At 40.9% G+C, this 14,706-nt stretch overlaps 1 annotated feature.

Annotated features, from left to right (window-relative positions):
- Positions 1-14,706: part of a centromere (Linear centromere model derived predominantly from reads generated in PMID: 17803354. This region does not represent an actual centromere sequence, as long-range ordering of repeats and unmapped WGS contigs is not provided by the model. For details of model production, see http://arxiv.org/abs/1307.0035.) that runs on past both edges of the window.

Raw genomic sequence — 14,706 nt, forward strand, 5'->3', positions numbered from 1 at the left:
GCGATGTAGCAGTTTAGAAACACACTTTCTGCAGAATCTGCAAGTGCATATTTGGACCTCTCTGAGGAATTCGTTGGAAACGGGATAATTTCAGCTGACTAAACAGAAGCATTCTCAGAACCTTCTTCGTGATGTCTGCATTCAACTCACAGTGTGGAACCTTTCTTTGATAGTTCAGGTTTGAAACACTCTTTTTGTAGAAACTGCAAGGGGATAATTGCACTTCTTTGAGGCCTACCGTAGTAAAGGAAATAACTTCCTATAGAAAGAAGACAGAAGCATTCTCAGAACCCTCTTCGTGATGTTTGCATTCAACACACAGTGCTGAACCTTTCTTTGATAGTTCAGCTTTGAAACACTCTTTTTGTAGAAACTGCAAGTGGATATTTGGTCCTCTCTGAGGATTTCGTTGGAAACGGGATAAACTGCACAGAACTAAACAGAAGCATTCTCAGAACCTTCTTCGTGATGTTTGCATTCAACTCACAGTGTTGAACCTTTCTTTGATAGTTCAGGTTTGAAACGGTCTTTCTGCAGAAACTGCAAGTAGATATTTGGACCGCTCTGAGGATTTCGTTGGAAACGGGATAACCCGCACAGAACTAAAACAGAAGCATTCACAGAAAACTCTTGGTGACGACTGAGTTTAACTCACAGAGCTGAACATTCCTTTGGATGGAGCAGTTTCGAAACACACTATTTGTAGAATGTGCAAGTGGATATGTGGGCCTCTCTGAGGATTTCGTTGGAAACGGGATAAACCGCACAGAACTAAACAGAAGCATTCTCAGAAACTACTTTGTGATGATTGCATTCAAGTCACAGAGTTGAACATTCCCTTTGACAGAGCAGTTTGGAAACTCTCTTTGTGTAGAATCTGCAAGTGGAGATATGGACCGCTTTGAGGCCTATGGTAGTAAAGGAAATAGCTTCATATAAAAGCTAGACAGTAGCATTCTCAGAAACTTCTTTGTGATGCTTGCATTCAACTCACAGAGTTGAACTTTCCTTTCGAGAGAGAAGCTTTGAAACACTCTTTTTCCAGAATGTGCAAGTGGACATTTGGGGAGCTTTGAGGCCTGTGGTGGAAAAGGAATTATCTTCCCGTAAAAGCTAGATAGAAGCATTGTCAGAAACTTCTTTGTGATGATTGCATTCAACTCACAGAGTTGAAGGTTCCTTTTCAAACAGCAGTTTCCAATCACTCTTTCTGTGGAATCTGCAAGTGGATATTTGGGCCTCTCTGAGGATTTCGTTGGAAACGGGATAAAACGCACAGAACTAAAACAGAAGCATTCTCAGAAACTTCTCTGTGATGTTTGTGTTCAACTCCCAGAGTGTCACATTGCTTCTCATAGAGTAGTTCTGAAACATGCTTTTCGTAGTGTCTGCAAGTGGACATTTGGAGCGCTTTCAGGCCTGTGGTGGAAAACGAATTATGGTCACATAAAAACTGGACAGAAGCCTTCTCAGAAACTTCTCTGTGATGATTGCATTCAACTCACAGAGTTGAACCCTCCTATGGATAGAGCAGTGTTGAAACTCTCTTTTTGTGGAATCTGCAAGTGGATATGTGGACCTCTCCGAAGATGTCTTTGGAAACGGGAATATCTTCACATAAAAACTAAACAGAAGCATTCTCAGAAACTTCTTGGTGATGTTTGCATTCAAATCCCAGAGTTGAACCTTCCTTTGATAGTTCAGGTTTGAAACACTCTTTTTGTAGGATCTGCAAGTGGATATTTGGACCACTCTGTGGCCTTCGTTCGAAACGGGTACATCTTCACATAAAATCTATACAGAAGCATTCTCAGAAAATACTTTGTGATGATTGAGTTTAACTCACAGAGCTGAACATTCCTTTGGATGGAGCAGGTTTGAGACACACTTTTTGTAGAATCTACAAGTGGATATTTGGACCTCTCTGAGGATTTCGTTGGAAACGGGATAACTGCACCTAACTAAACGGGAAGCATTCTCAGAAACTGCTTTGTGATGATTGCATTCACCTCACAGAGTTGAACATTCCTATTGATAGAGCAGTTTGGAAACACTCTTGTTGTGGAATGTGCAAGTGGAGATTTGGAGCGCTTTGAGGCCTATGGTAGTAAAGGGAATAGCTTCATAGAAAAACTAGACAGATGCATTCTCAGGAACTTTTTGGTGATGTTTGTATTCAACTCCCAGAGTTGAACTTTCCTTTGGAAAGAGCAGCTATGAAACACTCTTTTTCTAGAATCTGCAAGTGGACGTTTGGAGGGCTTTGTGGTTTGTGGTGGAAAAGGAAATATCTTCACCTAAATACTAGATAGAAGCATTCTCAGAAGCTTCTCTGTGATGACTGCATTCAACTCACGGAGTTGAACACTCCTTTTGAGAGCGCAGTTTTGAAACTCTCTTTCTGTGGCATCTGCAAGGGGACATGTAGACCTCTTTGAAGATTTCGTTGGAAACGGAATCATCTTCACATAAAAACTATACAGAAGCAGTCTCAGAATCTTCTTTGTGATGTTTGCATTCAAATCCCAGAGTTGAACTTTCCTTTCAAAGTTCACGTTTGAAACACTCTTTTTGCAGGATCTACAAGTGGATATTTGGACCACTCTGTGTCCTTCGTTCGAAACGGGTATATCTTCACACGACATCTAGACAGAAGCTTTCTCAGAAAATTCTTTGGGATGATTGAGTTGAACTCACAGAGCTGAGCATTCCTTGCGATGTAGCAGTTTAGAAACACACTTTCTGCAGAATCTGCAAGTGCATATTTGGACCTCTGTGAGGAATTCGTTGGAAACGGGATAATTTCAGCTGACTAAACAGAAGCATTCTCAGAACCTTCTTCGTGATGTCTGCATTCAACACAAAGTGTGGAACCTTTCTTTGATAGTTCAGGTTTTAAAAACTCTTTTTGTAGAAACTGCAAGGGGATAATTGCACTCTTTGAGGAGTACCGTAGTAAAGGAAATAACTTCCTATAAAAAGAAGACAGAAGCATTCTCAGAACCCTCTTCGTGATGTTTGCATTCAACTCACAGTGCTGAACCTTTCTTTGATAGTTCAGCTTTGAAACACTCTTTTTGTAGAAACTGCAAGTGAATATTTGGTCCTCTCTGACGATTTCGTTGGAAACGGGATAAAACGCACAGAACTAAACAGAAGCATTCTCAGAACCTTCTTCGTGATGTTTGCATTCAACTCACAGTGTTGAACCTTTCTTTGATAGTTCAGGTTTGAAACGGTCTTTCTGTAGAAACTGCAAGTAGATATTTGGACCTCTCTGAGGATTTCGTTGGAAACGGGATAAACCGCACAGAACTAAAACAGAAGCATTCACAGAAAACTCTTGGTGACGACTGAGTTTAACTCACAGAGCTGAACATTCCTTTGGATGGAGCAGTTTCGAAACACACTATTTGTAGAATGTGCAAGTGGATATTTAGGCCTCTCTGAGGATTTCGTTGGAAACGGGATAAACCGCACAGAACTAAACAGAAGCATTCTCAGAAACTACTTTGTGATGATTGCATTCAAGTCACAGAGTTGAACATTCCCTTTGACAGAGCAGTTTGGAAACTCTCTTTGTGTAGAATCTGCAAGTGGAGATATGGACCGCTTTGAGGCCTATGGTAGTAAAGGAAATAGCTTCATATAAAAGCTAGACAGTAGCATTCTCAGAAACTTCTTTGTGATGCTTGCATTCAACTCACAGAGTTGAACTTTCCTTTCGAGAGAGAAGCTTTGAAACACTCTTTTTCCAGAATGTGCAAGTGGACATTTGGGGAGCTTTGAGGCCTGTGGTGGAAAAGGAATTATCTTCCCGTAAAAGCTAGATAGAAGCATTGTCAGAAACTTCTTTGTGATGATTGCATTCAACTCACAGAGTTGAAGGTTCCTTTTCAAAGAGCAGTTTCCAATCACTCTTTCTGAGGAATCTGCAAGTGGATATTTGGACCTATTTTGAAGATTTCGTTGGAAACGGGATAATCTTCACAGAAAAGCTAAACAGAAGCATTCTCAGAAACTTCTCTGTGATGTTTGTGTTCAACTCCCAGAGTTTCACATTGCTTTTCATAGAGTAGTTCTGAAACATGCTTTTCGTAGTGTCTGCAAGTGGACATTTGGAGCGCTCTCAGGCCTGTGGTGGAAAACGAATTATGGTCACATAAAAACTGGAGAGAAGCCTTCTCAGAAACTTCTCTGTGATGATTGCATTCAACTCACAGAGTTGAACCCTCCTATGGATAGAGCAGTGTTGAAACTCTCTTTTTGTGGAATCTGCAAGTGGATATGTGGACCTCTCCGAAGATGTCTTTGGAAACGGGAATATCTTCACATAAAAACTAAACAGAAGCATTCTCAGAAACTTCTTGGTGATGTTTGCATTCAAATCCCAGAGTTGAACCTTCCTTTGATAGTTCAGGTTTGAAACACTCTTTTTGTAGGATCTGCAAGTGGCTATTTGGACCACTCTGTGGCCTTCGTTCGAAACGGGTATATCTTCGCATAAAATCTAGACAGAAGCATTCTCAGAAAATACTTTGTGATGATTGAGTTTAAATCACAGAGCTGACCATTCCTTTGGATGGAGCAGGTTTGAGACACACTTTTTGTAGAATCTACAAGTGAATATTTGGACCTCTCTGAGGATTTCGTTGGAAACGGGATAACTGCACCTAACTAAACGGAAGCATTCTCAGAAACTGCTTTGTGATGATTGCATTCACCTCACAGAGTTGAACATTCCTATTGATAGAGCAGTTTGGAAACACTCTTGTTGTGGAATGTGCAAGTGGAGATTTGGAGCGCTTTGAGGCCTATGGTAGTAAAGGGAATAGCTTCATAGAAAAACTAGACAGATGCATTCTCAGGAACTTTTTGGTGATGTTTGTATTCAACTCCCAGAGTTGAACTTTCCTTTGGAAAGAGCAGCTATGAAACACTCTTTTTCTAGAATCTGCAAGTGGACGTTTGGAGGGCTTTGTGGTTTGTGGTGGAAAAGGAAATATCTTCACCTAAATACTAGATAGAAGCATTCTCAGAAGCTTCTCTGTGATGACTGCATTCAACTCACGGAGTTGAACACTCCTTTTGAGAGCGCAGTTTTGAAACTCTCTTTCTGTGGCATCTGCAAGGGGACATGTAGACCTCTTTGAAGATTTCGTTGGAAACGGAATCATCTTCACATAAAAACTATACAGAAGCAGTCTCAGAATCTTCTTTGCGATGTTTGCATTCAAATCCCAGAGTTGAACTTTCCTTTCAAAGTTCACGTTTGAAACACTCTTTTTGCAGGATCTACAAGTGGATATTTGGACCACTCTGTGTCCTTCGTTCGAAACGGGTATATCTTCACACGACATCTAGACAGAAGCTTTCTCAGAAAATTCTTTGGGATGATTGAGTTGAACTCACAGAGATAAACATTCCTTGCGATGTAGCAGTTTAGAAACACACTTTCTGCAGAATCTGCAAGTGCATATTTGGACCTCTCTGAGGAATTCGTTGGAAACGGGATAATTTCAGCTGACTAAACAGAAGCATTCTCAGAACCTTCTTCGTGATGTCTGCATTCAACTCACAGTGTGGAACCTTTCTTTGATAGTTCAGGTTTGAAACACTCTTTTTGTAGAAACTGCAAGGGGATAATTGCACTTCTTTGAGGCCTACCGTAGTAAAGGAAATAACTTCCTATAGAAAGAAGACAGAAGCATTCTCAGAACCCTCTTCGTGATGTTTGCATTCAACTCACGGTGCTGAACCTTTCTTTGATAGTTCAGCTTTGAAACACTCTTTTTGTAGAAACCGCAAGTGTATATTTGGTCCTCTCTGAGGATTTCGTTGGAAACGGGATAAACCGCACAGAACTAAACAGAAGCATTCTCAGAACCTTCTTCGTGATGTTTGCATTCAACTCACAGTGTTGAACCTTTCTTTGATAGTTCAGGTTTGAAACGGTCTTTCTGTAGAAACTGCAAGTAGATATTTGGACCTCTCTGAGGATTTCGTTGGAAACGGGATAAACCGCACAGAACTAAAACAGAAGCATTCACAGAAAACTCTTGGTGACGACTGAGTTTAACTCACAGAGCTGAACATTCCTTTGGATGGAGCAGTTTCGAAACACACTATTGGTAGAATCTGCAAGTGGATATTTGGGCCTCTCTGAGGATTTCGTTGGAAACGGGATAAACCGCACAGAACTAAAACAGAAGCATTCTCAGAAACTACTTTGTGATGATTGCATTCAAGTCACAGAGTTGAACATTCCCTTTGACAGAGCAGTTTGGAAACTCTCTTTGTGTAGAATCTGCAAGTGGAGATATGGACCGCTTTGAGGCCTATGGTAGTAAAGGAAATAGCTTCATATAAAAGCTAGACAGTAGCATTCTCAGAAACTTCTTTGTGATGCTTGCATTCAACTCACAGAGTTGAACTTTCCTTTCGAGAGAGAAGCTTTGAAACACTCTTTTTCCAGAATGTGCAAGTGGACATTTGGGGAGCTTTGAGGCCTGGGGTGGAAAAGGAATTATCTTCCCGTAAAAGCTAGATAGAAGCATTGTCAGAAACTTCTTTGTGATGATTGCATTCAACTCACAGAGTTGAAGGTTCCTTTTCAAACAGCAGTTTCCAATCACTCTTTCTGTGGAATCTGCAAGTGGATATTTGGGCCTCTCTGAGGATTTCGTTGGAAACGGGATAAAACGCACAGAACTAAAACAGAAGCATTCTCAGAAACTTCTCTGTGATGTTTGTGTTCAACTCCCAGAGTTTCACGTTGCTTTTCATAGAGTAGTTCTGAAACATGCTTTTCGTAGTGTCTGCAAGTGGACATTTGGAGCGCTTTCAGGCCTGTGGTGGAAAACGAATTATGGTCACATAAAAACTGGAGAGAAGCCTTCTCAGAAACTTCTCTGTGATGATTGCATTCAACTCACAGAGTTGAACCCTACTATGGATAGAGCAGTGTTGAAACTCTCTTTTTGTGGAATCTGCAAGTGGATATGTGGACCTCTCCGAAGATGTCTTTGGAAAGGGGACTATCTTCACATAAAAACTAAACAGAAGCATTCTCAGAAACTTCTTGGTGATGTTTGCATTCAAATCCCAGAGTTGAACCTTCCTTTGATAGTTCAGGTTTGAAACACTCTTTTTGTAGGATCTGCAAGTGGATATTTGGACCACTCTGTGGCCCTTCGTTCGAAACGGGTACATCTTCGCATAATATCTAGACAGAAGCATTCTCAGAAAATACTTTGTGATGATTGAGTTTAAATCACAGAGCTGACCATTCCTTTGGATGGAGCAGGTTTGAGACACACTTTTTGTAGAATCTACAAGTGGATATTTGGACCTCTCTGAGGATTTCGTTGGAAACGGGATAACTGCACCTAACTAAACGGAAGCATTCTCAGAAACTGCTTTGTGATGATTGCATTCACCTCACAGAGTTGAACATTCCTATTGATAGAGCAGTTTGGAAACACTCTTGTTGTGGAATGTGCAAGTGGAGATTTGGAGCGCTTTGAGGCCTATGGTAGTAAAGGGAATAGCTTCATAGAAAAACTAGACAGATGCATTCTCAGGAACTTTTTGGTGATGTTTGTATTCAACTCCCAGAGTTGAACTTTCCTTTGGAAAGAGCAGCTGTGAAACACTCTTTTTCTAGAATCTGCAAGAGGACGTTTGGAGGGCTTTGTGGTTTGTGGTGGAAAAGGAAATATCTTCACCTAAATACTAGATAGAAGCATTCTCAGAAGCTTCTCTGTGATGACTGCATTCAACTCAAGGAGTTGAACACTCCTTTTGAGAGCGCAGTTTTGAAACTCTCTTTCTGTGGCATCTGCAAGGGGACATGTAGACCTCTTTGAAGATTTCGTTGGAAACGGAATCATCTTCACATAAAAACTATACAGAAGCAGTCTCAGAATCTTCTTTGTGATGTTTGCATTCAAATCCCAGAGTTGAACTTTCCTTTCAAAGTTCACGTTTGAAACACTCTTTTTGCAGGATCTACAAGTGGATATTTGGACCACTCTGTGTCCTTCTTTCGAAACGGGTATATCTTCACATGACATCTAGACAGAAGCTTTCTCAGAAAATTCTTTGGGATGATTGAGTTGAACTCACAGATCTGAGCATTCCTTGCGATGTAGCAGTATAGAAACACACTTTCTGCAGAATCTGCAAGTGCATATTTGGACCTCTCTGAGGAATTCGTTGGAAACGGGATAATTTCAGCTAACTCGTTGGAAACGGGATAATTTCAGCTAACTAAACAGAAGCATTCTCAGTAACCTTCTTCGTGATGTCTGCATTCAACTCACAGTGTGGAACCTTTCTTTGATAGTTCAGGTTTGAAACACTCTTTTTGTAGAAACTGCAAGGGGATAATTGCACTTCTTTGAGGCCTACCGTAGTAAAGGAAATAACTTCCTATAAAAAGAAGACAGAAGAATTCTCAGAGCCCTCTTCGTGATGTTTGCATTCAACTCACAGTGCTGAACCTTTCTTTGATAGTGCAGCTTTGAAACACTCTTTTTGTAGAAACTGCAAGTGGATGTTTGGTCCTCTCTGAGGATTTCGTTGGAAACGGGATAAACCGCACAGAACTAAAACAGAAGCATTCTCAGAACCCTCTTCGTGATGTTTGCATTCAACACACAGTGCTGAACCTTTCTTTGATAGTTCAGCTTTGAAACACTCTTTTTGTAGAAACTGCAACTGGATATTTGGTCCTCTCTGAGGATTTCGTTGGAAACGGGATAAACCACACAGAACTAAACAGAAGCATTCACAGAAAACTCTTGGTGACGACTGAGTTTAACTCACAGAGCTGAACATTCCTTTGGATGGAGCAGTTTCGAAACACACTATTTGTAGAATCTGCAATTGGATATGCCATGGCCACTCTGAAGATTTCGTTGGAAACGGGATAAACCGCACAGAACTAAAACAGAAGCATTCTCAGAAACTACTTTGTGATGATTGCATTCAAGCCACAGAGCTGAACATTCCCTTTGACGGAGCAGTTTGGAAACTCTCTTTGTGTAGAATCTGCAAGTGGAGATATGGTATGCTTTGAGGACTATGGTAGTAAAGGAAATAGCTTCATATAAAAGCTAGACAGTAGCATTCTCAGAAACTTCTTTGTGATGCTTGCATTCAACTCACAGAGTTGAACTTTCCATTCGAGAGAGAAGCTTTGAAACACTCTTTTTCCAGAATCTGCAAGTGGACATTTGGAGGGCTTTGAGGCCTGTGGTGGAAAAGGAATTATCTTCCCGTAAAAGCTAGATAGAAGCATTGTCAGAAACTTCTTTGTGATGATTGCATTCAACTCACAGAGTTGAAGGTTCCTTTCCAAACAGCAGTTTCCAAACACTCTTTCTGTGGAATCTGCAAGTGGATATTTGGACCTCTTTGAAGATTTCGTTGGAAACGGGAGAATCTTCACAGAAAAGCTAAACAGAAGCATTCTCAGAAACTTCTCTGTGATGTTTGTGTTCAACTCCCAGAGTTTCACGTTGCTTTTCATAGAGTAGTTCTGAAACATGCTTTTCGTAGTGTCTGCAAGTGGACATTTGGAGCGCTTTCAGGCCTGTGGTGGAAAACGAATTATGGTCACATAAAAACTGGAGAGAAGCCTTCTCAGAAACTTCTCTGTGATGATTGCATTCAACTCACAGAGTTGAACCCTCCTATGGATAGAGCAGTGTTGAAACTCTCTTTTTGTGGAATCTGCAAGTGGATATGTGGACCTCTCCGAAGATGTCTTTGGAAACGGGAATATCTTCACATAAAAACTAAACAGAAGCATTCTCAGAAACTTCTTGGTGATGTTTGCATTCAAATCCCAGAGTTGAACCTTCCTTTGATAGTTCAGGTTTGAAACACTCTTTCTGTAGGATCTGCAAGTGGCTATTTGGACCACTCTGTGGCCTTCGTTCGAAACGGGTATATCTTCGCATAAAATCTAGACAGAAGCATTCTCAGAAAATACTTTGTGATGATTGAGTTTAAATCACAGAGCTGACCATTCCTTTGGATGGAGCAGGTTTGAGACACACTTTTTGTAGAATCTACAAGTGGATATTTGGACCTCTCTGAGGATTTCGTTGGAAACGGGATAACTGCACCTAACTAAACGGAAGCATTCTCAGAAACTGCTTTGTGATGATTGCATTCACCTCACAGAGTTGAACATTCCTATTGATAGAGCAGTTTGGAAACACTCTTGTTGTGGAATGTGCAAGTGGAGATTTGGAGCGCTTTGAGGCCTGTGGTAGTAAAGGGAATAGCTTCATAGAAAAACTAGACAGATGCATTCTCAGGAACTTTTTGGTGATGTTTGTATTCAACTCCCAGAGTTCAACTTTCCTTTGGAAAGAGCAGCTATGAAACACTCTTTTTCTAGAATCTGCAAGTGGACGTTTGGAGGGCTTTGCGGTTTGTGGTGGAAAAGGAAATATCTTCACCTAAATACTAGATAGAAGCATCCTCAGAAGCTTCTCTGTGATGACTGCATTCAACTCACGGAGTTGAACACTCCTTTTGAGAGCGCAGTTTTGAAACTCTCTTTCTGTGGCATCTGCAAGGGGACATGTAGACCTCTTTGAAGATTTCGTTGGAAACGGAATCATCTTCACATAAAAACTACACAGAAGCAGTCTCAGAATCTTCTTTGTGATGTTTGCATTCAAATCCCAGAGTTGAACTTTCCTTTCAAAGTTCACGTTTGAAACACTCTTTTTGCAGGATCTACAAGTGGATATTTGGACCACTCTGTGTCCTTCGTTCGAAACGGGTATATCTTCACACGACATCTAGACAGAAGCTTTCTCAGAAAATTCTTTGGGATGATTGAGTGGAACTCACAGAGCTGAACATTCCTTGCGATGTAGCAGTTTAGAAACACACTTTCTGCAGAATCTGCAAGTGCATATTTGGACCTCTGTGAGGAATTCGTTGGAAACGGGATAATTTCAGCTGACTAAACAGAAGCATTCTCAGAACCTTCTTCGTGATGTCTGCATTCAACTCACAGTGTGGAACCTTTCTTTGATAGTTCAGGTTTGAAACACTCTTTTTGTAGAAACTGCAAGGGGATCATTGCACTTCTTTGAGGCCTACCGTAGTAAAGGAGATAACTTCCTATAAAAAGAAGACAGAAGCATTCTCAGAACCCTCTTCGTGATGTTTGCATTCAACTCACAGTGCTGAACCTTTCTTTGATAGTTCAGCTTTGAAACACTCTTTTTGTAGAAACTGCAAGTGGATATTTGGTCCTCTCTGAGGATTTCGTTGGAAACGGGATAAACTGCACAGAACTAAACAGAAGCATTCTCAGAACCTTCTTCGTGATGTTTGCATTCAACTCACAGTGTTGAACCTTTCTTTGATAGTTCAGGTTTGAAACGGTCTTTCTGTAGAAACTGCAAGTAGATATTTGGACCTCTCTGAGGATTTCGTTGGAAACGGGATAACCCGCACAGAACTAAAACAGAAGCATTCACAGAAAACTCTTGGTGACGACTGAGTTTAACTCACAGAGCTGAACATTCCTTTGGATGGAGCAGTTTCGAAACACACTATTTGTAGAATGTGCAAGTGGATATTTGGGCCTCTCTGAGGATTTCGTTGGAAACGGGATAAACCGCACAGAACTAAACAGAAGCATTCTCAGAAACTACTTTGTGATGATTGCATTCAAGTCACAGAGTTGAACATTCCCTTTGACAGAGCAGTTTGGAAACTCTCTTTGTGTAGAATCTGCAAGTGGAGATATGGACCGCTTTGAGGCCTATGGTAGTAAAGGAAATAGCTTCATATAAAAGCTAGACAGTAGCATTCTCAGAAACTTCTTTGTGATGCTTGCATTCAACTCACAGAGTTGAACTTTCCTTTCGAGAGAGAAGCTTTGAAACACTCTTTTTCCAGAATCTGCAAGTGGACATTTGGAGGGCTTTGAGGCCTGTGGTGGAAAAGGAATTATCTTCCCGTAAAAGCTAGATGGAAGCATTGTCAGAAACTTCTTTGTGATGATTGCATTCAACTCACAGAGATGAAGGTTCCTTTACAAACAGCAGTTTCCAAACACTCTTTCTGTGGAATCTGCAAGTGGATATTTGGACCTCTTTGAAGATTTCGTTGGAAACGGGAGAATCTTCACAGAAAAGCTAAACAGAAGCATTCTGAGAAACTTCTCTGTGATGTTTGTGTTCAACTCCCAGAGTTTCACGTTGCTTTTCATAGAGTAGTTCTGAAACATGCTTTTCGTAGTGTCTGCAAGTGGACATTTGGAGCGCTTTCAGGCCTGTGGTGGAAAACGAATTATGGTCACATAAAAACTGGAGAGAAGCCTTCTCAGAAACTTCTCTGTGATGATTGCATTCAACTCACAGAGTTGAACCCTCCTATGGATAGAGCAGTGTTGAAACTCTCTTTTTGTGGAATCTGCAAGTGGATATGTGGACCTCTCCGAAGATGTCTTTGGAAACGGGAATATCTTCACATAAAAACTAAACAGAAGCATTCTCAGAAACTTCTTGGTGATGTTTGCATTCAAATCCCAGAGTTGAACCTTCCTTTGATAGTTCAGGTTTGAAACACTCTTTCTGTAGGATCTGCAAGTGGCTATTTGGACCACTCTGTGGCCTTCGTTCGAAACGGGTATATCTTCGCATAAAATCTAGACAGAAGCATTCTCAGAAAATACTTTGTGATGATTGAGTTTAAATCACAGAGCTGACCATTCCTTTGGATGGAGCAGGTTTGAGACACACTTTTTGTAGAATCTACAAGTGGATATTTGGACCTCTCTGAGGATTTCGTTGGAAACGGGATAACTGCACCTAACTAAACGGAAGCATTCTCAGGAAACTGCTTTGTGATGATTGCATTCACCTCACAGTAGTTGAACATTCCTATTGATAGAGCAGTTTGGAAACACTCTTGTTGTGGAATGTGCAAGTGGAGATTTGGAGCGCTTTGAGGCCTGTGGTAGTAAAGGGAATAGCTTCATAGAAAAACTAGACAGATGCATTCTCAGGAACTTTTTGGTGATGTTTGTATTCAACTCCCAGAGTTGAACTTTCCTTTGGAAAGAGCAGCTATGAAACACTCTTTTTCTAGAATCTGCAAGTGGACGTTTGGAGGGCTTTGTGGTTTGTGGTGGAAAGGAAATATCTTCACCTAAATACTAGATAGAAGCATTCTCAGAAGCTTCTCTGTGATGACTGCATTCAACTCACGGAGTTGAACACTCCTTTTGAGAGCGCAGTTTTGAAACTCTCTTTCTGTGGCATCTGCAAGGGGACATGTAGACCTCTTTGAAGATTTCGTTGGAAACGGAATCATCTTCACATAAAAACTATACAGAAGCAGTCTCAGAATCTTCTTTGTGATGTTTGCATTCAAATCCCAGAGTTGAACTTTCCTTTCAAAGTTCACGCTTGAAACACTCTTTTTGCAGGATCTACAAGTGGATATTTGGACCACTCTGTGTCCTTCGTTCGAAACGGGTATATCTTCACATGACATCTAGACAGAAGCTTTCTCAGAAAATTCTTTGGGATGATTGAGTGGAACTCACAGAGCTGAACATTCCTTGCGATGTAGCAGTTTAGAAACACACTTTCTGCAGAATCTGCAAGTGCATATTTGGACCTCTCTGAGGAATTCGTTGGAAACGGGATAATTTCAGCTGACTAAACAGAAGCATTCTCAGAACCTTCTTCGTGATGTCTGCATTCAACTCACAGTGTGGAACCTTTCTTTGATAGTTCAGGTTTGAAACACTCTTTTTGTAGAAACTGCAAGGGGATAATTGCACTTCTTTGAGGCCTACCGTAGTAAAGGAAATAACTTCCTATAGAAAGAAGACAGAAGAATTCTCAGAGCCCTCTTCGTGATGTTTGCATTCAACTCACAGTGCTGAACCTTTCTTTGATAGTGCAGCTTTGAAACACTCTTTTTGTAGAAACTGCAAGTGGATGTTTGGTCCTCTCTGAGGATTTCGTTGGAAACGGGATAAACCGCACAGAACTAAAACAGAAGCATTCTCAGAACCTTCTTCATGATGTTTGCATTCAACTCACAGTGTTGAACCTTTCTTTGATAGTTCAGGTTTGAAACGGTCTTTCTGTAGAAACTGCAAGTAGACATTTGGACCTCTCTGAGGATTTCGTTGGAAACGGGATAACTGCACCTAACTAAACGGAAGCATTCACAGAAAACTCTTGGTGACGACTGAGTTTAACTCACAGAGCTGAACATTCCTTTGGATGGAGCAGTTTCGAAACACACTATTTGTAGAATGTGCAAGTGGATATTTAGGCCTCTCTGAGGATTTCGTTGGAAACGGGATAAACCGCACAGAACTAAACAGAAGCATTCTCAGAAACTACTTTGTGATGATTGCATTCAAGTCACAGAGTTGAACATTCCCTTTGACAGAGCAGTTTGGAAACTCTCTTTGTGTAGAATCTGCAAGTGGAGATATGGACCGCTTTGAGGCCTATGGTAGTAAAGGAAATAGCTTCATATAAAAGCTAGACAGTAGCATTCTCAGAAACTTCTTTGTGATGCTTGCATTCAACTCACAGAGTTGAACTTTCCTTTCGAGAGAGAAGCTTTGAAACACTCTTTTTCCAGAATGTGCAAGTGGACATTTGGGGAGCTTTGAGGCCTGTGGTGGAAAAGGAATTA

This window comes from Homo sapiens, chromosome 17 (assembly GCF_000001405.40).
Source record: "Homo sapiens chromosome 17, GRCh38.p14 Primary Assembly".
Taxonomy (NCBI): domain Eukaryota; kingdom Metazoa; phylum Chordata; class Mammalia; order Primates; family Hominidae; genus Homo; species Homo sapiens.